The sequence below is a fragment of the Homo sapiens genome, chromosome 17 (assembly GCF_000001405.40).
Source record: "Homo sapiens chromosome 17, GRCh38.p14 Primary Assembly".
In the NCBI taxonomy this organism is placed as follows: domain Eukaryota; kingdom Metazoa; phylum Chordata; class Mammalia; order Primates; family Hominidae; genus Homo; species Homo sapiens.
The window spans coordinates 4,936,308-4,957,896 of record NC_000017.11 but is presented as its reverse complement, the minus strand read 5'-3'; the positions used below and the strand labels follow the sequence as shown (position 1 = coordinate 4,957,896).

Below are 21,589 nucleotides of genomic sequence, written 5' to 3'. Positions count from 1 at the left end.
ATGGGGTTTCTCCATGTTGGTCAGGCTGGTCCCGAACTCCCGACCTCAGGTGATCCGCCCGCCTCGGCCTCCCAAAGTGCTGGGATTACAGGCGTGAGCCACTGTGCCCTGCCAAGATCCTGTAAGTTCTATAGGAGAGGCAGCCACTGTCATTATCACTCTCATCCTCACAAAGCCCTCCCTAGGACTGCAGCCTCACTCTAGCATCCTCTGCAGACCATTTACTTCACAGCCAGCTTCCCCTTCATGGTGGTGGCAGGACCCCAGTCCCCACCCTGCTCCCCTCTCCTGGAGCTGGTTTCTTATTCCCTCTGAAACTCTTTATTTAGTTTTTTTGTTTGTTTTTGTTTTTTTTTGTTGTTGTTGCTTTGAGACAGGGTCTTGCTCTGCAGCCCAGGCTGGAGTGCAGTGGTACGAACATAGTGTACTGCAGCCTCAACCTCCTGGGCTCAAGCGATCCTCTCAACTCAGCCTCCCAGGTATCTGGGACTACAGGCGAGCGCCACCATGCCCGGCTCCATTGGCAACTCTGCAGCTTCATTTTACCATATAGCATCTGCTTCCCCTACCTCCTTTGGAAATGTGAACACCTCTGTTGTTCTAGAACCACCCAGCTTCCTCTGTGAGTCCCTCACCTCCTCTTTGTCCTAGCAGGTTACATATCTATTTGCCTCCCCTCCCCGCCCCCATCTCGCCACCTCCTGTTTTCCCCAGCTCAGCCCAGAAACCAGCATCCCCTAGCTCCCACAAAGAAGCACACAGCTGTCTTGGTTGGCACCAGTGTTTATTTCAGGAAGCAGGTCTGGAAGACCTGGGTCTGTCCAGTGGAGTCCTGGAGCCTCCAGCTTCTCACTTGGCCTTCGGGTTACGGAACTTGCGTCCAGCAAAGATTGCCTTGTCCCCAAGAGCCTCCTCGATCCTAGAATGCAGGCAAGGTTAGGGCTGCTGAACTTCCAACCTAACAGCCTCCAGCACCCCAATGCCCAGGCCCACTGTTCCCGCTGTACCTCATGAGTTGGTTGTATTTGGCCAGACGCTCCGAGCGGCAGGGGGCGCCAGTCTTGATCTGATGAGGGAAGAAGAATTTGGAGGGTTAGGTGAGGCTGGAAAGGAGGGGTTGGACCTGGCCCCAAGGGAGCATTAACCTCAAAGGCAGGAGGCCAGGGACCCCAAGAAAACTTGGTGAGACACTCAGTAGAGAGAAGCTACAAGTACCTGTCCTGTGCAGAGCCCCACCACAAGGTCAGCAATGAATGTGTCCTCAGTCTCCCCAGAGCGGTGGCTCACCATCACCCCCCAGCCATTAGACTGAGCCAGTTTGCACCTGAGTGGAGAGGACATTTGATGTGGCCTTCTAGAACCTCCTCAGTGGGAAAGCAGGGGTTGGGTGGGGCCTCTCCCTTCTGTTTTGGGTAGCAAGCACTCTGCAGGGAGGGCAGTGACTAAGTTCTTTGGGAAGTAGGAGAGGAAAAGACTTATCTTGATTTCGGGCTCTTGAGATGCTGCTGAGAACAGCGGAATCTGAGAGAGGAATGGTGTGGGCTGGGGGTGGGGGGTCATGACAGAGCCACAGGGGCAAAGCTCTTGGAGTCAGGCCAAGGATTAGTCAAACAAAGTCTTGAGATCAAGGTGTGGGTAAGTCAGGTGCCAGGGGAAAGGTAAGCTTGGAGTTGGTGGGTAAGACTGTAGCTGGAGTGGGCAGAGCTGGGGCAGAGGCAGGCTATGGTGAGCCTCAGGGTCAGGAGGCACTCACGCCTGGATCGATTCGGTCACCGAGCCGATCTGGTTGACCTTCAGCAGCAGACAGTTGCAGGCCTTCTTCTCAACGGCCTGGGCAATCCTCTTGGGGTTGGTGACTGTCAAGTCATCCCCCACAATCTGGATGTTCACCCCCGAGAGGAAGGAGGTCCAAGTGGCCCAGTCATCCTGGTCAAAGGGGTCTTCGATGGAGACCACTGGTGGGGTTTGGAGCAGAGACAGGGCAGAGACAGAGCAGAGACAGGGCAGAGACAGGGCAGAGACAGAGCAGAGACAGGGCAGAGACAGGGCAGAGACAGGGCAGAGACAGAGCAGAGACAGGGCAGAGACAAGGCAGAGACAGGGCAGAGACACGGCTAGAGGTCAGAAGGAGCCTCATGGAGGGGTGACAGGGCAGAAGAGCTTAAATGGGGATTTTAATGGGGCTAAGAATTGGAAGGATCCAAGTCGATGGCAAAGCAGGTCACTGAAATCAGTATATTAGGCAGCTGCACGGGATTCGGGCAGGAACACTGGGACACCCGAACGCCTCACCAGGATAGTTCTTGATAAAGCTCTTATACAGCTCTCCGAGCTTCTCCCCAGTGATGTGCCGTGCGGGATCATCAGGCGACTTGAAGTCAAGATCGTACTTCCCATTGCGATAGAACTCAGATGCTGCCACATCCATGCCGATCACCACCTTGTCTGGGTAACCAGCCGCCTGGATGGCCGTCTTCAGCAGCTCCAGGGCTGGGGGAGGACCAAGAAAGGACCTGAGACTCCAGTGCCCCTTGTCTGCAGCCTCCCCTGCCCATGTGGAGATCCAGGGGGTCTGCCCCCCAGGGTGCTCAGCACTGACCCTCATTGTTCTCCAGGATGTTGGGTGCGAAGCCACCTTCATCACCCACATTGGTGGCATCCTTCCCATACTTGGCCTTGATGACCCCCTTGAGGTGGTGGTAGACCTCGGCGCCAATGCGCATGGCTTCCTTGAAGGAGCTGGCTCCCACAGGCAGAATCATGAACTCCTGCATGGCCAGCTTGTTTCCAGCATGGGAGCCCCCGTTGATCACATTGAAGGCCTGAGATGGGGAGAGGGTGTCTGGACCTGGGCCGGGGCATGAGAGCTCAAGAAGGGACAGGGGCGGGGGGTGTTGGGGTGGAAACCTGGCTTCCCTACTTACTAGCTCAGTGGTCTAGGATGAGTAGTTTTGCTCAAGAGCCTCTTTCCTCATTTCTTTCTTTTTTTTTTTTTTTTTTTGAGACGGAGTCTCACTTTGTCACCAGGCTGGAGTGCAATGGCGCAACCTCCGCCTCCCGGGTTCAAGTGATTCTCCTGCCTTAGCCTCCCTAGTAGCTGGGACTATAGGTGGGTGCCACCATGCCTGGCTAATTTTTGTATTTTTAGTAGAGACGGGGTTTCACCATGTTGGTCAGGCTGGTCTCGAACTCCTGACCTTGTGATCTGCCCGCCTCGGCCTCCCGAAGTGCTGGGATTACAGGCGTGAGCCACTGTGCCCAGCCTCTCTTTCCTCATTTCTGTAAAATGGGGATAGCACCTACTTCCCTGTAGGATCTTTTGCTGAAAATTAGAGAAATTGAATGTAAAGTTCTTAGCATGTGCCTAGTATATAATAGCTAACACTTTTATATAGCACTTACTACATGCCACGCACTAAGTACTTTACATGTATTAGCCCATTTCATTCTCAAAACACCTCTATTCATTGGTATCGTTATTACCCCCCATTTTACAGATGGGGAAACTGAGACAGAGCAGTTAAAGAACTTGCCTAAAATCATACAACTAATAACAGGCAGAGCCAGGATTCAAACCCAGCAATCTATCTCTAGAGACCATGCTCTTATGCAATCCTCCTAGTAAGTAACAAGAAATGGTAACATTATTATTGAGATTAAATTCAAAGAGTTTCCATTCATCAAGAAGGCACTGGTTTAAGAAGGACTCAAGAAGATACAAAGAAATGCCAAGATCTTTGCCTCAAAGAAACTCTCAATATGATTTGGGTGTAGGGTGTGGGGTTGGAACGAGGCTGGAGTTATCGAGCCTAGGATTGGAATGGGAAGGAACTGGGTTATATGGCAGGGAAGGAAGCACATAGAGCCTTCAGGGAAGGTTTGGATTGTGGAAGAGAGGGAGGGGTGGGACCACAGCAGGAGAGATTCAATTTCAGGAAACTGCTTCTTAGGAGCTGGTCTGAAAGGTGGATTTTCCAGGGGGGCCAACCCTGGCTGGGCGGGGTTGGCTCTGTCCAGGCGAGATCTGGGAAGGGCGGGTAGCTGCACTCACTGGCACTGGGAGTATGAGGTCAGGGTTCCCAGCGAGATCTGCGATGTGGCGGTACAGGGGGACCCCCTTCTCAGCTGCTCCCGCCTTACACACGGCCAAGGACACGCCCAGGATGGCATTGGCCCCAAACTTGGCTGGAAGGAGGCAAGCGGGAAGAAAGGATGAGAGCTTCTGCAGGGTTTGGGGTGGCTACTCCAGGAAGACGCCAGAGCTCCAAACCACTGAGCATGAAGAATTGGTTAACAGATCTCTCCCCAACAGCCTGAGTAGCCCTGGGAACCCCCACCCCGGGGGAATGTGTCAGCTGCATGTCTGTGTCCACAGCCCGGCCCAGGCCTGGCAGAAGGCAGGCATAGGAAATGCCTGTGGAATGAACACAAATCCATCCAGCTGCGGTGTGACCCAAAATGGGGGACCCAGAAATAACCCATCAGGCCTCACCCCATGGCCTCTCGCCATCTCTCCCACACCTCATCCCTTCCCCACCGCTAGCCCTTCACTCACACTTATTCTCGGTCCCATCTAGCTCAATCATAAATTTGTCAACTTTTTCTTGATCCACAACGCTTAGTTTCTGGAAGGGTGAGTTTGAGAAGGGAGAGCAGAGGTCAGATTTCTCAGAAGTCAGGGCACATGCAGGGGAAGGATAAGGGAAAATGTTTCGGGAGAGGCCTGTCTGGGCTGAGGGAGCAGGGGCATGGGGAGGAGGCTGCAGCGAGCGGGCTTCCCCACTTGCCTTTTGCAGCAGAGCAGGGCCCAGAGTATTGTTGATGTTCTCCACAGCCTTCAGGACTCCTAGACAGGCCAGAGGATGAGTTTTGGAGCTCAATCAACTGGGCCCCTTTCTGTGGACCCCAGCTCCTCAAGAGCCTTGGGGGTTCCAGTCCTCTACCCATTGTGCACCCATGTCCTAAAGCCGCCCACACAGGCTCCTTCTGCGCTGGTGTCTCCTCACCTTTCCCCAGGTAGCGGCCTTTGTCTCCGTCTCTTAGTTCCAGAGCCTCATAGATACCCGTGGAAGCCCCACTGGGCACAGCTGCTCGGAATCGGCCTGGGACAGGAGGAATTGGAAGATCACAGGGATGGCTGGGCGCGGTGGCCCATGCCTGTAATCCCAGCACTTTGAGAGGCCTAGGCAGGTGGATCACTTGAGATCAGGAGTTCAAGACCAGCCTGGCTAACATGGCGAAACCGTCTCTGCTAAAAATACAAAAATTAGCTGAGGCCGGGCGCGGTGGCTCACGCCTGTAATCCCAGCACTTTGGGAGGCCAAGGCGGGCGGATCACGAGATCAGGAGATCGAGACAATCCTGGCTGACACCGTGAAACCCCATCTCTACTAAAAATACAAAAAATTAGCTGTAGTCCCAGCTACTCGGGAGGCTGAGGCAGGAGAATGGCGTGAACCCGGGAGGCGGAGCTTGCAGTGAGCCTAGATCGCGCCACTGCACTCCAGCCTGGGCGACAGAGTGAGACTCCATCTCAAAAAAAAAAAAAAAAAATTAGCTGGGCGTGATGGCACAGGCCTGTAATCCCAGCTACTTGGGAGGCTGAGGCACAAGAATCACTTAAACCCGGGAGGCAGAGGTTGCAGTGAGCTGAGATTGCACCACTGCACTCCAGCCCGGGCCACAGAGCGAGACTCCATCTCAAAACAAAACAAAACAAAAAAAAGGACCTCACAGGGAGTCTCTCTACCTCTCAAAGGGCTGAGGTGTCCTCTCTGAGCTCAGGGACAGGAGGCAGTGCAGAGAGAGACTCCTGCTTCTCCTAGCTTCCAGCTCTGGTTCCACGTTGGAAGAAGGGGGCTTGGGAAGAAGTCTGGGAAAGGGAACCCGAGAGAAAGGAGAGGATATGGCACAGAACTGGGGGGCAAAGGCCAAAGGGTTGGGGTCTTCGGAGGCGAGCCTATCCAATGGGCCTTGTGTTACCCTTGGCCGTGTGCAGGTCCACCTCCACCGTGGGGTTGCCCCTGGAGTCCAAGATTTCCCGGGCAAAGATTTTCTGCATGGCCATGGCTGCAGGACAGGAGGTGTGAGTGAGTGTAGACAGTTGATCTCTTAAGGAACCAGAAATCCCTTGCCCTTTAAGATTCTTCCCCACTCCAAGAAGGCAGGTGCTGGAGCTAAAAATACCCTACAAAAAGGTCACAGACCAAAGAGGCAGGCGCAGCCCCCTCCCCCACTCAGAACAGCTCTTATTCCACCCTCCCATCCTAAGAATCCAGGGGCCTCTTATCTATAGCTCCTGGGATGCCACCGCTCACCAAGCCCCCACCTCCCCCAAGCCTCCACTTAGGCCTTCTCCTTCCACCCCTCTGGTCAAGCAGTCTGTTCTCCATGGCTGGTGGCCTTCAAATCCTTTCTGGTTCTCATTTTCCTGCTCCGAAATCTCCTTGGGCCCCCAATTCCCTATCAGGTTCCAGCTCTAGCTGCCCTTTTCTATCCATCCCTGCTGCCCTCCTCACAGCCTCCTTTCCCTAGATCCTTCGGTGTTCCCAGAGTTTGTCCCATCTGCTTGCTCCAGCCGCCCCTTCCCCCAGCTTTTTCAAGCATCTCCAGTCCCAGGAGGAAAAAAAGCAGAAATGTCCCCCACTTCCTCCAAGCCAATACCATGCTCACCCTTTACTACCTCCACCCCCAGGGCTGGAAGATTCACCCGACCTGGGATGTCTTCGCTGGAGGTTTGGATGGAGCTCCGAGTCTAGGTGGCAGCTGGGACAGTGTCAGCTCACCCCCTCTCAGGCTGCGCATTTATCCCTGAGCCACTCGGTCCCCAGCCAGCCCCGCCTCTCTTTCTCTCCATCCTCCCCCCTTCACACTGGGCTGGCAGCCAAGTGCCCACTACAGCCTGAAGCAGAAGCCTCTGGCCCTGGGCACCTGCCCCCTTACCAAAGGTCAACTACTATCCCCCACTTTCTGTCTCCCAATAACAGTCCCTGTTCTAATTCCACCCTTTGGGAGGAGCAAGGGAGGGGCTACAGATGAGGGGTCTCCCCCCACCCCAGGATTACATTCCCCTTTTGCAAACGTCAAGAGGAATGAGTGACCTTTAGGAAAGGCCAGGGGTAACCTGAGCCCTGCAAGGCTGGGGAGGGGGCCTGGAAGAGGGGCTGCAAGATTGACGTCCACACATGCTCAGATCGCTGGGCGGGCCTCTGTCCTCAGTGGGGGAAAGGACGGGACCCCCCACCCCAGAAGGCGAGAGGGTCTCACCTCTTAGGGTCCTCATAACGGCCATTCTCGGCGCCGCCCCATCCTACCCTCTCCAGGCCAGCCAGCGCCGGGATGAGTTAGGGGACAGGAAACGAATTTAGACAGGCCCTTTCGGCTGGCAAGGCGCCCGACTGATAACGCTGGGACAGCACTTGTCGCCCGGCGTGGGGACTGTCGGTCAGAGCCCCTTTCCCCATCGACTGTGGGCGCTCAGCGCACGGCCCCAGCCCATCAATGAATGGGGCTGAATCAACAGTGAACAAAAATGAATGGACCGAGGACGGGTGGCCTTTTGTGAGCTTCTGCACGCCTGGGGCTCTTCCGGCGCCCCACTTGTAGCACTGCGGGGAGGTAGGTCTCTGCCCTCGGTAGAGATCTCCACTTTGCCGGCTCTGGGGCCAGTGCGGGGTCTGCCCCGAGCTCCTCTGCAGCCATACCAGCCGACCGGCGGGGGACACACGGCGCCTCGGCCCGACTCGGAGGCCCTTCCCGTCGGCGCCGGGGCAGCGCGCGCCCGGTGACTCACCCCCGCCGCCCTCTCCCCACCCCTGCTCCCCGCCCCGCCGGCCCGCGCGGCCTCCCAGCCCCCACCCCAGGCCACCTGCCCCGCCACCCGTCCAGTCTCCCCTCTCGCCCCGCCCCCTCATCTCAGGCCGCTCCTCCCGGGATTTTTCCACCCTGGGGTAGGGGTGCGGTGGGCCAGGGGTCAGGAGATGGCGGGCGGGGAGCGCCGCCACGTGCCCGGGTGCGGCCCCGCCCGAGCCCGCCAGTGACTCAGCCGCGCGGCTGTCGAGGAACACGGACTCGAGGGGCGTCGGGGACTGTGGGATTCGGCGTGGACGCCAGGGATGCGCGCCGCGCTCGGGAGGAGAGAGAAAACCAACCCCCTTTCCGCCCGGGCCGCGCTCGGTGACCCCTTGCCCCTAGCCCAGGCTCCGGAAGCCGCCCAGCCCTCGGCGGCGGGTCGGAGGAGGCGGTTTCACCGCGGCCGCCGCACGGCCGTCCCGCCCGTCCCGCCCTCCCCAGGTGGCTGTGAGCGCACATCTGACTGCGAAGAAACCCAAAGGGCCCGAAGTGGGACTTTCCCCTTCTTGAAAAAGTTGCCACTCTTGCAACTTGAGTATTCTTCCGCCTCGAAAAATAGCCCCGCCTGTTAAGCCCCGCGGGTGTCCGCGCTCTGTGACCTCTGCAGACACAGGCCAAGGGGCACGGCCGGTGATCCAGACATTGCCTGCCTGGGGCGGGCGGGGCTGGGATGTGGGGTGAGGCCCTGGGCTAGAGCCGATCCAGAGAAGGGACAATCCTCTAGACTGAGAATGGGCCCTGGTGAACCCAACCTGCACGACCCGAGAAGACGCTGGGGACAGAAGTGGCCCCGGTGGGTGCCTTCAGCTATGAGAGCGACTAGAGGATTTGGCCAAACTCTTCTTTGCTTTCTTATTACTTGAATAAGTAAAATCAAGGGTGGTGAGGCGGCAGCGCGCACGGCTTCGCCCCCGCCCCTTCCGCCAGGCGGGAGACACGTCCCCAGCCCGCCTTCCTTTCCCGCAGGGTCCACACGGGTCGGGCCGGGCGCGCTCCCGTGCAGCCGGCTCCGGCCCCGACCGCCCCATGCACTCCCGGCCCCGGCGCAGGCGCAGGCGCGGGCACACGCGCCGCCGCCCGCCGGTCCTTCCCTTCGGCGGAGGTGGGGGAAGGAGGAGTCATCCCGTTTAACCCTGGGCTCCCCGAACTCTCCTTAATTTGCTAAATTTGCAGCTTGCTAATTCCTCCTGCTTTCTCCTTCCTTCCTTCTTCTGGCTCACTCCCTGCCCCGATACCAAAGTCTGGTTTATATTCAGTGCAAATTGGAGCAAACCCTACCCTTCACCTCTCTCCCGCCACCCCCCATCCTTCTGCATTGCTTTCCATCGAACTCTGCAAATTTTGCAATAGGGGGAGGGATTTTTAAAATTGCATTTGCAAAGTTCGGTGTCTGGGCTGGCGAGTGGGGGAGGGAGGGAATGGGGAGTAGGCCCCGCCCCTACCGTCCTTTGCAAATAAAAATCTAGCGGGGCGGGGGGGGGGAGGAGCAGGAAGTGGCGGTGCGAGGGCTGCTGCACAGCGAGCGGAGCCGCGGTCCGGACGGCAGCGCGTGCCCCGAGCTCTCCGCCTCCCCCCGCCCGCCAGCCGAGGCAGCTCGAGCCCAGTCCGCGGCCCCAGCAGCAGCGCCGAGAGCAGCCCCAGTAGCAGCGCCATGGCCGGGTGGAACGCCTACATCGACAACCTCATGGCGGACGGGACCTGTCAGGACGCGGCCATCGTGGGCTACAAGGACTCGCCCTCCGTCTGGGCCGCCGTCCCCGGGAAAACGTTCGTCAACATCACGGTACTGCGAGGCCTGCGCGGTCCGGGGCACTGCTCCGGTTTGGACCCTGAGGGAGGGACTTGGGTGGGGGCGGGCGCGGTCTAGGGCGCGCAGCGAGAGGCCCTGACTGGGTGCTTGCCCTGGAAGCGGCGCGAATGGCGGCTGCACGTGAGTGGGTCCCTCAGTTGCCCGTAGGTCCTATGCCCCAGGCGGCGGCGCCCATCCCGCCCGCTACCCCGCTTTCCGCGACGGGGCGTTACATCCGGGGCACAGGGCGGGGAGGGGCGCGGCGCCCGGTGCGGCGGCCCACTTCCGCCTCTCCCAGGGCGGGGCGGGGACGCGCCTCAGTTTTTACTGGGGATTGGGATTGAGAGGGGACCCGGGGATCCTTGGACCCCCAGCTCCCCGTCCGGCTGCCAGCCCGCGTCCCTCTACCATTGTTTCTCCTGGTGCGGAAGGGAGCCCCAGGCGCGTGGTCTTGGTCCCTTGCCCACCCTCTGTGGGCTTCTGGCCCCTCCTAACTCCGTTAGAGAGGGCGAGGCCACCACACGCCCCCCCAGCTCAGCACGTTGGATTCAACATTCCTGCGAGGCCAATCCCGGAAGTCCCCTCGCCCTCCCTTCCCGCCATCCGGCGGGGCCTGGAGCAGGGGAACTTTGTGAGAAGTTCTGAGACAGCATAAGCGAAAGTATATTGGTTTACTACCGCTGCTCCCACCACCATCTCCCTGTCCACACTGCCCGGAAGTGGGGAGGGGGAGCGGAAGTTCAAAAGGGGGGGGAAGGGGGTTTCCGGGCGGGAGGGGACCGGATGTGGGGGCTTGGGGTGAAAGGGGGAGGGGGGAAAGGTTCCCGGGGTACCTAGACCCGAGAGCTGGCCTGCCGGGTCTGGCCCCTGTCCACCTTCAAAAGTTTTCCAACTTTCCCGGAAAGCCCCCAGGGGTCTGCTTCCTCATCTCAGAGCAGAGATACCTGGAGCTAAACTCTAGGTTACTTGGAGACCCAGGCGTCCGGGCCCTAACAGCTCCTGCAGAACCTTTGACCAAATAAGGGCAAAGTTGCTTCTCTTGCCTCGCCCGCCCCCCTCCCTTCCCCTCTCCGCTTCTGCTTTTCCTGAAGGAGAGTTCTGAGCATCCAAAGGCTCCTCACTTACCTCACTGACTCCCTTTATTTCCTGGGTTTACTTTCCCCATTAACACTGACATCTAAATCTCTAGAGGAGTATGTCATCCCTTCCTCCCTGGTTCCATATTCTAAGTTTCAGAATCATGATCTTTTTCTGCACTAACGTCCCACAGTCCTCAGAGTTTCTCACAGTTCATTGATGTGTACTGAGTATATAATTTATACTTAGCCCCCACGGCGGGGTGGTTCTCAGAAGTGGAAGACAGGTGGGTCTTTGGAGAACACGGTGGGAATCTTGGTGCACTGACTAACTTGATGGGCGCTTGGTTCCTCTTCCAGCCAGCTGAGGTGGGTGTCCTGGTTGGCAAAGACCGGTCAAGTTTTTACGTGAATGGGCTGACACTTGGGGGCCAGAAATGTTCGGTGATCCGGGACTCACTGCTGCAGGATGGGGAATTTAGCATGGATCTTCGTACCAAGAGCACCGGTGGGGCCCCCACCTTCAATGTCACTGTCACCAAGACTGACAAGAGTGAGTTCCTGAGTCTTACCCTTCCTTTAGCTCCAAGATCTCTAATGTACCGCCTTCTGGTAATCTTGAGGGTGCTTTTTTGTGTGATTCCCCAACATGAAGGGAGTCAGACCAGTATTGTGTTCCTTGTCTGCTGGATGCTGGAACACGGGATAGTCCCTCCATTCTGTCTCAGTTCCTCATCTTGTAATTCGAAGTTGCTGAACTGCATTACCTCTTAAATTACTTACTGCCTTGAGCTCGGATTAGAAACTGTTTTCTAGGAGTATAGGTAGATTGTTGGGGTCTTGAATCATCGAGTTCATCGTTTGAGTTCTTTTGTTAGAACCTGGAGGTGGCATGCACATCCACAGCCCTTTCTAGCCTGAACACATGAATCAACAGTCTATGAGCCTTTGACCCCTAAGTTTTTAGTCTGTTCCTCTCCAGCGTTTAAGCTTGATTTTCCTCTTTTGAAAAGCCTTATTGTTTCAGGGTGACTGACAGCCTGCCTGTGTGTGGTGGGGGGGCGGGTTGGGAGAGATGAGGTTGGGTTACAGCCCCCAGGGCTGGACAGCTGCTGAACAGCTGGCAGGGGGTGGAATTGTGACACCTGGATCCTAGCCTCCTTTCTCTTTCCTCCTCCTCCAGCGCTAGTCCTGCTGATGGGCAAAGAAGGTGTCCACGGTGGTTTGATCAACAAGAAATGTTATGAAATGGCCTCCCACCTTCGGCGTTCCCAGTACTGACCTCGTCTGTCCCTTCCCCTTCACCGCTCCCCACAGCTTTGCACCCCTTTCCTCCCCATACACACACAAACCATTTTATTTTTTGGGCCATTACCCCATACCCCTTATTGCTGCCAAAACCACATGGGCTGGGGGCCAGGGCTGGATGGACAGACACCTCCCCCTACCCATATCCCTCCCGTGTGTGGTTGGAAAACTTTTGTTTTTTGGGGTTTTTTTTTTCTGAATAAAAAAGATTCTACTAACAAGGTGCTGTGTGATTTGAGCTTGGGTGTCAGAATGGGGGATAGGCACTGTGACTTGCCTCCTTTATCGTGGCTTGGGAGCAGGGAGGTTGAGGTACTACAAGGTGCAGGAATTTGAGCTTCTGGCCAGGTGGCCCTGCCCCTCCACAGTGGCATTTCCAGGCCTAAGTCCTCAGTGTGCTGGTCAAATTGGTGGATGATGGAATAGAGCCATCTGGACCAGAGAATGGGTGCAGGCCTGCAGGCAAGGCAGGGCTAGTTGAGTCATCCTTGTGGGTGGGGCTCCCCCTTCTGAGTCATAGCAAATGCCGGCTGGGGCTGTCCCCATGACTATAGGTTAGTGTCTCTCAGCATTCCCTTGCTCCTTATGGCTAAAGGGGTGATTCCACCAAAGGGTTAAGTTCACCTGTGTGAGAATGATCTTACCCTTCCTTAGTCCACAAAGAAACAATTTTATTAGCCCAAGAAGTGAAGACCCAGTCCCTCTGCTTGCCCCAGCTCCACCCCAAAGCCCCTCAAAAGGATAGGTGTGGGTAAGGGAGAAGCTTGGGATGGAATGTCCCCTATCCCTCAGAAGACTGGAGGGAAGACGACGGTCTGTGCAAATAGGTCACCAGAGGTGTATGTGTGGGGGGTTATTAGACCAGGATAACAGGGGAAGAGGGAGGGGACAGTGGGGGATCTGTTGAAGGCCCAGGAAAAACAAGGGGAGCTGGGGCTAAGGAACCAAAGGAGGTGGGAAGAGTGGGGCTAGAACCCAAAAGTGGGGTCCTTTCTGAGGCAGGGTGGTCCCTTGGCTCCCCTTCATCACCCTCCTCTTGCCCTTGAGTTTCTTCCTCTTGGTCTTCGTCCCCAGGACCCCGATGAACAGGCTGCTTGCAAATGGGGCAGGTCTTCCGGGTCTGAGTGAGCCAGGGGTCCACGCAGCGGCTGTGGTAGGCTGCAGAGAGGAACAAGGTGAAGCACCTGGTGGCTGCTGGTGGCAGAGGGGCATGGGCAGGCAGTGAGGGCCTCACCATGAGCACAGGGGAGTACCCGCAGCTTGTCCCCATCCTCATATTCATCCAGGCAAATGGCACAGACATCATACTGGTCTCCTGGGACAGAAAGAAAATAATCTAGTCCTTCACTGAGCCACAATGACCCAGGGCTAAGGCTTTTAAAGCCTTGCAAAAATTTCCCCTCACCTACAAAGCCAGTGGAAGAGATAAGACAGGTAGGCAGGATAAGGTCAGGGCAGAACATGGAAGAATTTAGGGCTAGAAGGGACAAGCAAAGAGAAGCAGAGGTAAGAAGGGAAGTGGGTTTTTGGGGAGGTGTGAGGGTGGAGATAGGGAGTGGAAGGAACGGAAATGGGCAGGGCTTCTGCCACAGCCTTATACGGGCACTGGAGGCCCCAGGGCCTAAAGCCCCAGCCCCTTGGTACCGGTTTCTTCCTTCTCTAACTGAATCCTCCCCATTCCTCCCATTTTTCTGCTCTGTCCACATCCCCTATAAGCAAAGTCTATCCCTCTATTGTTTCCCACAATTATTTCACTTAATCATCTTTGCTTTCCATCTCCTCTCCCGTCTTCGTTGTATTTATGCATAAAAACAGAAGAAAAGACAGCATCTCAAGCTGAAACCTTCCTACTGCCATCTTTATTTTTATTATTATTTTTTTGAGAAAGGGACTCCCTCTGTCGCCCAGGCTGGAGCACAGTGGTGCAATCTCAGCCCCCGACAACCTCCGCCTTCCTGGTTCAAGTGATTCTCCTGTCTCAGTCTCCCAATTAGCTGGGACTACAAGTGCACACCACCATGCCCAGCTAATTTTATTTTTTTATAGAGATGGGGTCTCACCACATTGCCCAGGCTGGCCTGAACTCCCGGGGTCAAGGGATCCACTTGCCTCAGCCTCCTAAAGTGCTGGGACTTTTCTGTTTTATCATGTCACCCAGGCTGGTCTCAAACTCCTGGGCTCAAGTGACCTGCCCACCTTGGCCTCCCAAAGTACTGGGATTAGAGGCACTTGGGATTACGTGAGCCACTGTGCCCGGCCACTGCCATCTTTGTATACCCTATCTTCTGGGCTCAAAGTCCTTCAGAACCAGGTAAACTGTGGGAAAAGCCCTCTTCTCCCCTAACCCCCTCACCCTTCTGATAGTCATGTGTAGGAATCTGTTTCAGTTGCTCTTTGGTAAGTCGATTCCGCTGGAGCCGTTTCCGGTGCTGGATACAACGAGCTATCTGGGGGAAGCGGGGGTGGATGGACAAGGCTTAGGAACAAAACTAGACAATCTAGGACAAGCCACTCCCATCTCCCAACTCCAGATCCAGTCTGGCCTCACAGGCCTCAGTGCTTCCCATCATGTTCCCTCAGCTACTCACCATTACTGCTCCCATGGCCAAAACCAGCAGTCCCACAATCCCTGTGAAAGGGATGAGGTAATAGCCCAAGGGGAAGGTATTGTCTGGAACCAGAAGCACCCGAGCCCTGGGAAAAGGATGACCAGTCTCAGCAGGGCGAGAAAGGCAAAGGGAGAAAAAAAGAGGGACAAAGTAACTGGCTCTGGACAAAGCCCATAGGTGGGGACAGGAATGGGAAGAAAGTCAAAGAGGCAGGGAAGGAAGGACAGGAGGCTGAATGGTTCGGGTAATGAGGAGGCCTGGGCTCCAGGTTGGCATGGAACTGCTTGCTGAAGGAAGAATGGGAAGGAGGCACATGTCCTACCCCTTCTCGTAGACAAAGAGGGCACGCAGGTACTCGGAGCTTCTCTCCCCAATAAATACAGACGGGATCCAGATCTGCTGCTGGATTTCCTCTGCAGGGATCAAGGTGTTACTCTGGGGACTCACAACCTTCTACTCAAATCCTCTGGGAACCCTGGCATCTTGCACTTTGGCCCCACCCCACCTAAAGGATTGGCTTCTTTTCCTGAGGCCTTCAGCCTTCCCACCATCTCTGGGTCCTACTGAAAGCCCAGCTGTATAGATTCCCCCAGCCTTACCACTATTCCACACCATGTTCAGAAGTTCATTGGAATTCACATTGTGTACTACAGCGGCACCATATCCAGCCTTCTGGGCATTTAGGACCTAGGGAGACAAGGCAGAGGACAAGGAGCCATCATGGGCCTTACCTGTCTTCATTCCTGGTGCCTTTTTTTTACCCTCAGCTGCCCAGCTCCCCTTCCTCATTCAGCAACCTTGAGGTCAAAGTTGCAGTCGAATCTTCGAAGCAGCGCAATAAAGACTGACCCATTGACCGGGGCTGGGGGTGGTGGGGCAATGGGGCTGCAGGCATTGTCTGGGTGAGCCTCCACAAGGAACCCCTGAAGGATGGAAGCAAACAACAGTGAGATTTCTCCTTTCTAGATTCTGCTCTCTACAGGGGCCACCAAACACACCAGCCCACATGCTGCACATCCTCTATCCTCACTTCCTCCTCCTTCCTGGGGTCTGAGTGAGCATCCCACCATCACAACCTTCTCTTAGCCTCTTGAAAAGGCAATGACATAAAACATCCCTTCACCAAACTCTCCCATCATCCCTCTCGCTGTCCCAGATGGGCTAATCTGTACCCTATACTGCAAGCTAATGCAATTATTTTTGCCTTCTAATATTCCAATTGTAATTCAATTCTCAAACCACCCATGTCACTTTCTCTCAAGTTCTGTTTCACAGTCCCCTCTCCAGCACATACTCATACAGACACACTCCCCTCCCTTCAGTTTTCTTTTTGTTTTTCTTTTTTTTGAGATGGAGTCTCGTTTTGTCACCCAGGCTGGAGTGCAGTGGCGCGATCTCGGCTCACTGCAACCTCCACCTTCCGGTTTCAAGTGATTCTCCTGCCTCAGCCTCCCAAGTAGTTGGGACTACATGCGTGCACCATCACGCCCAGCTAATTTTTGCCATTTTAGTAGAGATAGGGTTTCTCCATGTTGGCCAGGCTGGTCTTGAACTGGGATTACAGATGTGAGCCACCGCGCCCGGCCTCTTCAATTTTCTAATTACCCATCTCACAAACAACTCGACTGCTACTAAGGCCCAACTGAGTTCTTGCTATGTGGCAGTCTTTGGGATGAAATACTACCAAAATTGCGTATCTACTTTGATCTTCACAATAACCCTAGGAAAACTTCTAATATCCCATTTTACAGTAAAACAAACTAAGGCTCAGAGAGATTAACTTGCCCAAAGTCATATAAGCAATAACTAGCACCTGAGACCTTCCTGATAAGGACCGTTGATCCTGCCTTCTGTCTTCGTCCACTTTCAGTCTCCCTGATAACCTCGGAGTTCCAGGGGTGGACACTCTGTCTTCTCCCTCTAGATTCTGGGTTCTACACTAGACGTGCTCAGTTCCTAACTTCATTTTCCTACCTCCAGTTTCACCCAGGACAAACCTCCCCAACCCCAGCCTAGGATGGAGGATCTTGCGAAATACTAAAAAAAGAAAAAAGACAGAAAAGGAAGGAAGGGAGGGAAGGAGGAAAAGAAAAGAAAGAAAATCACCTGGAGGCCCTCCTGGCTCAAGGTAGCCCCAAACAGAGCTGGAAGGTCTGCAAAGTCCATGCTGGCATTGTGGTCCGAGGTCTGCGGACAAAAAAGGCGATGTTCCCCTTCAGCCTGCAACCCTTCCTTTCAGCGCCCTTTCCCCATCCGTCCCTCAGACTCACCGCTCGAATGAGCCCCCGGGTCGGGGCCGCTCCCCACAGCACAGCGGCCACAACCACAGGAAGCGGGAAGGCTGCAGGGTGCATGGCAGCGGGAGGAAAGAGGCTGAGGAGGCCGCGCGTCCTGGTAGCAAGGAGCAGAAGCGGAGTTCTGCGCCCTCCCTGCCCCTCCTTTAGGATCCCAGGGGTCCAACCACCCCCAGGTCCCACTTCCCAGCTACATGGGGGCGCCGGGGAAGGAACACCAACTCAAAGAATGAGATATCCAACCCGTTTAGTGGAGCTGGGTGGGAGGCACTAAATGTATCCTTTTCTGGTACGGGGATAAAACGCGGAAAGGGGACGGAGCCTAACACAGGTGACAGAAAAACTTCGGGAAGGGTGGCGGAGCTCAAGGAGGTGGGACTTCCTGCTAGGTGGGCCGTGTTCCCAGCCTCTGGAAAAGGGCTTCCGGTAGAGAAAATCAGGCCGCTTTCAGCATTGGATGCTTGAGATGAAGGACTTCCGGTCCTAAAAGGCCGGTTAAAAAAAGGTTAGCGATGGAGGGACTGCCTGTGGAGATGGAAGGGGCACTGGTGGCCCAGAAGACGACCTAATAAAAGTGCCCGGAAACCCGGAGCCTCCTAGTTTACAAACCTCTCCTCCCTCTGGCCTCCGCCGCTCCTTCAAATCTCGCGAGAGTGCTCACCACCTCTCCCGTCCCCTCGCAGCTGAATAGTTGCTGTGTCTATCGCGAGAGCGCTCCAACTTGGCGAGCCGTACTCACTCGATCTCGCGAGACCTTCAAACAAACTCTTCTCTATTTTCCCGCGATTCTAATTCGGTGAAAACAGCGCCTTTCCTCTGGTTTCCAAATCAGTTACGCCCCTTCTCGCACGCTTCCATCAAGCTCCTCCTTCAGCTCCGCCTTACTCCCGGCCGCCTTTGCGCTGCGCGCCTGCGCCCGCGCCGGCTTCCAGCGGGTGTCGGACCTGAGAGCTGGAGGGGCGTGCGCGCGCCCTCGCTCTGTTGCGCGCGCGGTGTCACCTTGGGCGCGAGCGGGGCCGCGCGCGCACGGGACCCGGAGCCGAGGGCCATTGAGTGGCGATGGCGGCGACGGCGAGTGCCGGGGCCGGCGGGATAGACGGGAAGCCCCGTACCTCCCCTAAGTCCGTCAAGTTCCTGTTTGGGGGCCTGGCCGGGTAAGCTCAGGCCCCAGGGATGGGAAAAGAGGAGGAAGGGAAGGGCAAAAGGAACCGGGCCCGGTTCATCTCTGGGTCTGTTGCAGTGAACTGTGCCGGCACGGGGTCAGCGCGATCTCCAGCGTATTGCGAGTTCCCCGATGGGCTGCTAGGGCCCCATTGCAGGACCCTTATGGACTGCATGCAGGGTCGTTGCACAACCCCCGCCGGGCCAGCTGAGTTTCCCAGCGCATTGCTAAGCTCGGCCGGGCGGCAGGGGGTTCCAGGCCATTAAATGGCTCCTGCAGGACTACCTGGAGTCCTAAATCTTGGATGCCCCTTCCTCCCCTCCCTGTGTCGGACTGCGTGCAGCCCCAGGTCACTGCTTGACTGTCATGAAGCTGCTTGGAGCACTTTCATTGCATGGCCCCTACTGGACAACTAGACTTTTCAGACCCGTTGCACTTGGTGTACATATAGACTCTTATACACATGCTCACCAGCATCCTGATTCTTGAATCGCATGGCAGGCCCTGACCTTTGTAACCTCTTGCTGCCAGGCTCCAGTGGGCACTGGTAGATCTGGAATGCCTGGCCCTTCACTCCACCTCTGTCTTCCCCCAGGATGGGAGCTACAGTTTTTGTCCAGCCCCTGGACCTGGTGAAGAACCGGATGCAGTTGAGCGGGGAAGGGGCCAAGACTCGAGAGTACAAAACCAGCTTCCATGCCCTCACCAGTATCCTGAAGGCAGAAGGCCTGAGGGGCATTTACACTGGGTATTGGGGCCTCAGGATGGAGGGTAGACTGTGGGTTGGCAGCTCTAGACCTTGGCCTGATATGCTGACCCCTCTGCTCCTCAGGCTGTCGGCTGGCCTGCTGCGTCAGGCCACCTACACCACTACCCGCCTTGGCATCTATACCGTGCTGTTTGAGCGCCTGACTGGGGCTGATGGTACTCCCCCTGGCTTTCTGCTGAAGGCTGTGATTGGCATGACCGCAGGTGCCACTGGTGCCTTTGTGGGAACACCAGCCGAAGTGGCTCTTATCCGCATGACTGCCGATGGCCGGTGAGTTCCAAGTCTGAACCTAACCCCAGCCCCATTCCCTCGAATCTAGAATGAAAGGACCAGTTTTTTATCCCGGATCTGGAGCAGAGTGTTTACCTGTTCTGGCCTTCCTTTCTTTGCACCTGTGGGCAATCCTGATCTTGACCTCTTTCTGCCTTCCCACCAGGCTTCCAGCTGACCAGCGCCGTGGCTACAAAAATGTGTTTAACGCCCTGATTCGAATCACCCGGGAAGAGGGTGTCCTCACACTGTGGCGGGTGAGTGGAGGGGCTGGAGACTTGGGGGCTGTGAGGTCTGGTTTTAGGGGTTTCTGACTCTTCCCCGCTCCCCTCCCTCCAGGGCTGCATCCCTACCATGGCTCGGGCCGTCGTCGTCAATGCTGCCCAGCTCGCCTCCTACTCCCAATCCAAGCAGTTCTTACTGGACTCAGGTGAGATCCAGAGCTGGGCCCTTAGTTCCCAGCCTGGCCTGAGCCACCTCTGAGCTGACTGCCACCCCCGCCTCACCTCCCCCAGGCTACTTCTCTGACAACATCTTGTGCCACTTCTGTGCCAGCATGATCAGCGGTCTTGTCACCACTGCTGCCTCCATGCCTGTGGACATTGCCAAGACCCGGTGAGTGTGCAGCCTGGGCCTGGAGGTGGGTGGGAGGGTGCCCTTTCGGTCTCTCATGCCCCTGCGTCCTCTCCTGCAGAATCCAGAACATGCGGATGATTGATGGGAAGCCGGAATACAAGAACGGGCTGGTGAGGAAGCCATTCTGGGGGCCTGGGAGGGGGTGTCGGATCCCCTGGGAAAGGTGTGAAGGCAGCTGGGTGAGGGGGATGGGGACCTAGAGTCCTAGCCCCAGCGCCCTGCCTGTCTGTGTCTAGGACGTGCTGTTCAAAGTTGTCCGCTACGAGGGCTTCTTCAGCCTGTGGAAGGGCTTCACGCCGTACTATGCCCGCCTGGGCCCCCACACCGTCCTCACCTTCATCTTCTTGGAGCAGATGAACAAGGCCTACAAGCGTCTCTTCCTCAGTGGCTGAAGCGGCCGGGGGCTCCCACTCGCCTGCTGCGCCTATAGCCACTGCGCCCTGGGGGCCTGGGCTCTGCTGCCCTGGACCCCTCTATTTATTTCCCTTCCACAGTGTGGTTTCTTCCTCTGCGGTAAAGGACTTGGTCTGTTCTACCCCCTGCTCCAGCTTGCCCTGCTCGTCCTGATCCTGTGATTTCTCTGTCCTTGGCTATTCTTGCAGGGAGCTGGAAAACTTCTGAGGATTTCTGGCCTCCCCCTGGGTTTTAGTTTCAGGGCACACAGGACAGCAGAAGATCCCCTTTGTCAGTGGGGAAACCAAGGCAGAGCTGAGGGGACAGGGAGGAGCAGAAGCCATCAAGATGGTCAAAGGGCCTGCAGAGGGAGATGTGGCCCTTCCTCCCCCTCATTGAGGACTTAATAAATTGGATTGATGACACCAGCCCCAAATCTGGAGAGTCTGGGGGGTGGCTAGGAGAGGGGAGGAGACTGGACAAAGAAGCTGGAGAATAGGAACTGGAGTTTTTAAGAAAAATTGTTAAAGAAAAAGCAGCCGCTGGTTTTTTGCAAATGCTGTATAAATCTGTCATGCCACAGCAGCTGACAGGGCCAGAAAAACTCAAATCCCAGGCCCGGTGTGTTTCCTCCAGCCACTCGCCCAAGAATGCCACCGATGCCCAGATCATCTCACATAATCCCCAGGAAAAGCCCCTCGGTCTGATGACTGCTTCTGCAGCCTAAAGAGGGAGGAAATAAAGAGACTTAGAGAGGAAGTCAGACCACTGTGGGCTGGAGGCAGTGCAGGTGGAAGGCCAGGGCTTAAGTGGGTGGGCACTGGAAGCTTGAGGAAAGGGGAATGCTGGCCAGAGACCTGATCTGGGTCCTTGGCTGGGGAGAGTGAGAACCTTGTCCATTTCTTTAGAAGATGTGTGGTTCCCAGGCCAGCCTTCAAGGAGCCTTAAAACCTCTTGGGGCACAAGAGAGTTTGGGAAGGTCAAACTGAGGAGTGCTTGCCAGGCTAGGGGACAGGCAGGCAGCAGGTGGGAGCTGTCCCTTTGGCAGAGCCTCATCAGCAGAAGAGGTGGAGCTCAGCATCCTGGCGCCCCTGCTGCTGCCTCTGTGTACACTGTCCTGCGCCTTGGTGGCTATTGTGAGATGCCTGAAGCCTAGACCTTGTCCTTAAGGAGTTCCTGGTCCAGAAGACAAGATTATACAGGAGCAGTTGGGAAACTGAGTGTAGCAATAGTGTTGCAGGGTAACTTGGAGCACCTGGCCTCGCCTGGGAGTAGTGACTTGCAGACTGAGTGGTTAGACTGGCTGGGGATGGGGCAAGGATAGCACACCTGGCTGGACTGAGGGCAAAGGCTTAGAGTAAAACACTGTTGGGGAGCAGGTGATCTATAGGCTTGTGATAGTTGGAGCACAGACTGTGAGGTATCTCCCTTG

At 56.2% G+C, this 21,589-nt stretch overlaps 4 protein-coding genes across 32 annotated transcripts, besides 21 other annotated features; 2 read left to right on the top strand and 2 right to left on the bottom strand.

Moving 5' to 3' along the window:
- ENO3 (enolase 3) lies at positions 768 to 9,187 on the bottom strand. 6 transcript variants are annotated; one of them, XM_011523729.2, is made up of 12 exons: positions 8,604 to 9,187; positions 5,983 to 6,069; positions 5,007 to 5,102; positions 4,788 to 4,846; positions 4,556 to 4,625; positions 4,052 to 4,185; positions 2,600 to 2,822; positions 2,293 to 2,490; positions 1,754 to 1,955; positions 1,216 to 1,324; positions 1,008 to 1,066; positions 768 to 919 (listed from the first exon to the last, which is right to left on the bottom strand). In XM_011523729.2, exons 2-12 carry the CDS (start codon positions 6,065 to 6,067, stop codon positions 850 to 852), a joined length of 1,305 nt encoding a protein of 434 aa, XP_011522031.1. In that variant the 5' UTR covers positions 6,068 to 6,069; positions 8,604 to 9,187; the 3' UTR covers positions 768 to 849. The 6 variants fall into 6 exon arrangements, with proteins under 6 accessions (XP_011522031.1, NP_001361453.1, NP_001967.3 ...); NM_001374524.1 differs by lacking the exon at positions 8,604 to 9,187 and adding an exon at positions 7,267 to 7,345; NM_001976.5 differs by lacking the exon at positions 8,604 to 9,187 and adding an exon at positions 6,673 to 6,778.
- Positions 5,512 to 6,246: an enhancer, noted in NCBI's record as "H3K4me1 hESC enhancer chr17:4854946-4855680 (GRCh37/hg19 assembly coordinates)". NCBI's record gives its function as "activates a minimal SCP1, AML or CMV promoter by ChIP-STARR-seq in primed H9 embryonic stem cells {active_cell/tissue: H9 hESC(primed)}" and the evidence as "EXISTENCE:reporter gene assay evidence [ECO:0000049][PMID:30033119]".
- Positions 7,628 to 7,857: a silencer, noted in NCBI's record as "silent region_8057". NCBI's record gives its function as "represses an Ori minimal core promoter by ATAC-STARR-seq in GM12878 lymphoblastoid cells {active_cell/tissue: GM12878}" and the evidence as "EXISTENCE:reporter gene assay evidence [ECO:0000049][PMID:35858748]".
- Positions 7,908 to 8,317: a silencer, noted in NCBI's record as "silent region_8056". NCBI's record gives its function as "represses an Ori minimal core promoter by ATAC-STARR-seq in GM12878 lymphoblastoid cells {active_cell/tissue: GM12878}" and the evidence as "EXISTENCE:reporter gene assay evidence [ECO:0000049][PMID:35858748]".
- Positions 8,408 to 8,577: an enhancer, noted in NCBI's record as "active region_11562". NCBI's record gives its function as "activates an Ori minimal core promoter by ATAC-STARR-seq in GM12878 lymphoblastoid cells {active_cell/tissue: GM12878}" and the evidence as "EXISTENCE:reporter gene assay evidence [ECO:0000049][PMID:35858748]".
- Positions 8,778 to 9,027: a silencer, noted in NCBI's record as "silent region_8055". NCBI's record gives its function as "represses an Ori minimal core promoter by ATAC-STARR-seq in GM12878 lymphoblastoid cells {active_cell/tissue: GM12878}" and the evidence as "EXISTENCE:reporter gene assay evidence [ECO:0000049][PMID:35858748]".
- Positions 9,158 to 9,497: a silencer, noted in NCBI's record as "silent region_8054". NCBI's record gives its function as "represses an Ori minimal core promoter by ATAC-STARR-seq in GM12878 lymphoblastoid cells {active_cell/tissue: GM12878}" and the evidence as "EXISTENCE:reporter gene assay evidence [ECO:0000049][PMID:35858748]".
- On the top strand, positions 9,367 to 12,245 carry PFN1 (profilin 1). 2 transcript variants are annotated; one of them, NM_005022.4, is made up of 3 exons: positions 9,367 to 9,634; positions 11,077 to 11,269; positions 11,900 to 12,245. In NM_005022.4, the coding sequence occupies exons 1-3, from the start codon at positions 9,503 to 9,505 to the stop codon at positions 11,995 to 11,997; spliced, it is 423 nt and encodes a 140-aa protein (NP_005013.1). In that variant the 5' UTR covers positions 9,367 to 9,502; the 3' UTR covers positions 11,998 to 12,245. The 2 variants fall into 2 exon arrangements, with proteins under 2 accessions (NP_005013.1, NP_001362920.1); NM_001375991.1 differs by having other exon boundaries at positions 11,077 to 12,245.
- Positions 9,768 to 9,837: a silencer, noted in NCBI's record as "silent region_8053". NCBI's record gives its function as "represses an Ori minimal core promoter by ATAC-STARR-seq in GM12878 lymphoblastoid cells {active_cell/tissue: GM12878}" and the evidence as "EXISTENCE:reporter gene assay evidence [ECO:0000049][PMID:35858748]".
- Positions 9,868 to 10,097: a silencer, noted in NCBI's record as "silent region_8052". NCBI's record gives its function as "represses an Ori minimal core promoter by ATAC-STARR-seq in GM12878 lymphoblastoid cells {active_cell/tissue: GM12878}" and the evidence as "EXISTENCE:reporter gene assay evidence [ECO:0000049][PMID:35858748]".
- Positions 11,458 to 11,537: an enhancer, noted in NCBI's record as "active region_11561". NCBI's record gives its function as "activates an Ori minimal core promoter by ATAC-STARR-seq in GM12878 lymphoblastoid cells {active_cell/tissue: GM12878}" and the evidence as "EXISTENCE:reporter gene assay evidence [ECO:0000049][PMID:35858748]".
- Positions 12,208 to 12,377: an enhancer, noted in NCBI's record as "active region_11560". NCBI's record gives its function as "activates an Ori minimal core promoter by ATAC-STARR-seq in GM12878 lymphoblastoid cells {active_cell/tissue: GM12878}" and the evidence as "EXISTENCE:reporter gene assay evidence [ECO:0000049][PMID:35858748]".
- Positions 12,438 to 12,527: an enhancer, noted in NCBI's record as "active region_11559". NCBI's record gives its function as "activates an Ori minimal core promoter by ATAC-STARR-seq in GM12878 lymphoblastoid cells {active_cell/tissue: GM12878}" and the evidence as "EXISTENCE:reporter gene assay evidence [ECO:0000049][PMID:35858748]".
- Positions 12,538 to 12,587: an enhancer, noted in NCBI's record as "active region_11558". NCBI's record gives its function as "activates an Ori minimal core promoter by ATAC-STARR-seq in GM12878 lymphoblastoid cells {active_cell/tissue: GM12878}" and the evidence as "EXISTENCE:reporter gene assay evidence [ECO:0000049][PMID:35858748]".
- On the bottom strand, positions 12,675 to 17,805 carry RNF167 (ring finger protein 167). Of its 21 annotated transcripts, none has more exons than NM_001370304.1 (12): positions 17,537 to 17,629; positions 17,171 to 17,410; positions 16,904 to 17,024; positions 16,740 to 16,820; positions 15,431 to 15,556; positions 15,233 to 15,320; positions 14,956 to 15,046; positions 14,613 to 14,718; positions 14,378 to 14,471; positions 13,430 to 13,501; positions 13,259 to 13,339; positions 12,675 to 13,182 (listed from the first exon to the last, which is right to left on the bottom strand). In NM_001370304.1, exons 3-12 carry the CDS (start codon positions 16,985 to 16,987, stop codon positions 12,881 to 12,883), a joined length of 1,125 nt encoding a protein of 374 aa, NP_001357233.1. In that variant the 5' UTR covers positions 16,988 to 17,024; positions 17,171 to 17,410; positions 17,537 to 17,629; the 3' UTR covers positions 12,675 to 12,880. The 21 variants fall into 21 exon arrangements, with proteins under 21 accessions (NP_001357233.1, NP_001357237.1, NP_001357232.1 ...); NM_001370308.1 differs by having other exon boundaries at positions 16,904 to 16,974; NM_001370303.1 differs by lacking the exon at positions 17,537 to 17,629 and adding an exon at positions 17,667 to 17,805 and having other exon boundaries at positions 16,904 to 17,410.
- Positions 13,142 to 13,685: an enhancer, noted in NCBI's record as "H3K27ac-H3K4me1 hESC enhancer chr17:4847507-4848050 (GRCh37/hg19 assembly coordinates)". NCBI's record gives its function as "activates a minimal SCP1, AML or CMV promoter by ChIP-STARR-seq in naive H9 embryonic stem cells {active_cell/tissue: H9 hESC(naive)}" and the evidence as "EXISTENCE:reporter gene assay evidence [ECO:0000049][PMID:30033119]".
- Positions 13,458 to 13,507: an enhancer, noted in NCBI's record as "active region_11557". NCBI's record gives its function as "activates an Ori minimal core promoter by ATAC-STARR-seq in GM12878 lymphoblastoid cells {active_cell/tissue: GM12878}" and the evidence as "EXISTENCE:reporter gene assay evidence [ECO:0000049][PMID:35858748]".
- Positions 16,722 to 16,851: an enhancer, noted in NCBI's record as "active region_11556". NCBI's record gives its function as "activates an Ori minimal core promoter by ATAC-STARR-seq in GM12878 lymphoblastoid cells {active_cell/tissue: GM12878}" and the evidence as "EXISTENCE:reporter gene assay evidence [ECO:0000049][PMID:35858748]".
- Positions 17,185 to 17,379: a silencer, noted in NCBI's record as "fragment chr17:4843813-4844007 (GRCh37/hg19 assembly coordinates)". NCBI's record gives its function as "represses an EF-1alpha promoter that drives an FKBP-Casp9 reporter gene in an ReSE screen in K562 erythroleukemia cells {active_cell/tissue: K562}" and the evidence as "EXISTENCE:reporter gene assay evidence [ECO:0000049][PMID:32094911]".
- Positions 17,732 to 17,801: an enhancer, noted in NCBI's record as "active region_11555". NCBI's record gives its function as "activates an Ori minimal core promoter by ATAC-STARR-seq in GM12878 lymphoblastoid cells {active_cell/tissue: GM12878}" and the evidence as "EXISTENCE:reporter gene assay evidence [ECO:0000049][PMID:35858748]".
- On the top strand, positions 17,851 to 20,767 carry SLC25A11 (solute carrier family 25 member 11). 3 transcript variants are annotated; one of them, NM_001165417.2, is made up of 8 exons: positions 17,851 to 18,048; positions 18,685 to 18,837; positions 18,922 to 19,128; positions 19,295 to 19,385; positions 19,468 to 19,558; positions 19,644 to 19,743; positions 19,823 to 19,874; positions 20,001 to 20,767. In NM_001165417.2, exons 1-8 carry the CDS (start codon positions 17,987 to 17,989, stop codon positions 20,154 to 20,156), a joined length of 912 nt encoding a protein of 303 aa, NP_001158889.1. In that variant the 5' UTR covers positions 17,851 to 17,986; the 3' UTR covers positions 20,157 to 20,767. The 3 variants fall into 3 exon arrangements, with proteins under 3 accessions (NP_001158889.1, NP_003553.2, NP_001158890.1); NM_003562.5 differs by having other exon boundaries at positions 17,851 to 18,081; NM_001165418.2 differs by lacking the exon at positions 18,685 to 18,837 and having other exon boundaries at positions 17,851 to 18,081.
- Positions 17,942 to 18,011: a silencer, noted in NCBI's record as "silent region_8051". NCBI's record gives its function as "represses an Ori minimal core promoter by ATAC-STARR-seq in GM12878 lymphoblastoid cells {active_cell/tissue: GM12878}" and the evidence as "EXISTENCE:reporter gene assay evidence [ECO:0000049][PMID:35858748]".
- Positions 18,518 to 19,043: an enhancer, noted in NCBI's record as "H3K27ac-H3K4me1 hESC enhancer chr17:4842149-4842674 (GRCh37/hg19 assembly coordinates)". NCBI's record gives its function as "activates a minimal SCP1, AML or CMV promoter by ChIP-STARR-seq in naive H9 embryonic stem cells {active_cell/tissue: H9 hESC(naive)}" and the evidence as "EXISTENCE:reporter gene assay evidence [ECO:0000049][PMID:30033119]".
- Positions 19,044 to 19,569: an enhancer, noted in NCBI's record as "H3K4me1 hESC enhancer chr17:4841623-4842148 (GRCh37/hg19 assembly coordinates)". NCBI's record gives its function as "activates a minimal SCP1, AML or CMV promoter by ChIP-STARR-seq in primed H9 embryonic stem cells {active_cell/tissue: H9 hESC(primed)}" and the evidence as "EXISTENCE:reporter gene assay evidence [ECO:0000049][PMID:30033119]".
- Positions 19,570 to 20,095: an enhancer, noted in NCBI's record as "H3K4me1 hESC enhancer chr17:4841097-4841622 (GRCh37/hg19 assembly coordinates)". NCBI's record gives its function as "activates a minimal SCP1, AML or CMV promoter by ChIP-STARR-seq in primed H9 embryonic stem cells {active_cell/tissue: H9 hESC(primed)}" and the evidence as "EXISTENCE:reporter gene assay evidence [ECO:0000049][PMID:30033119]".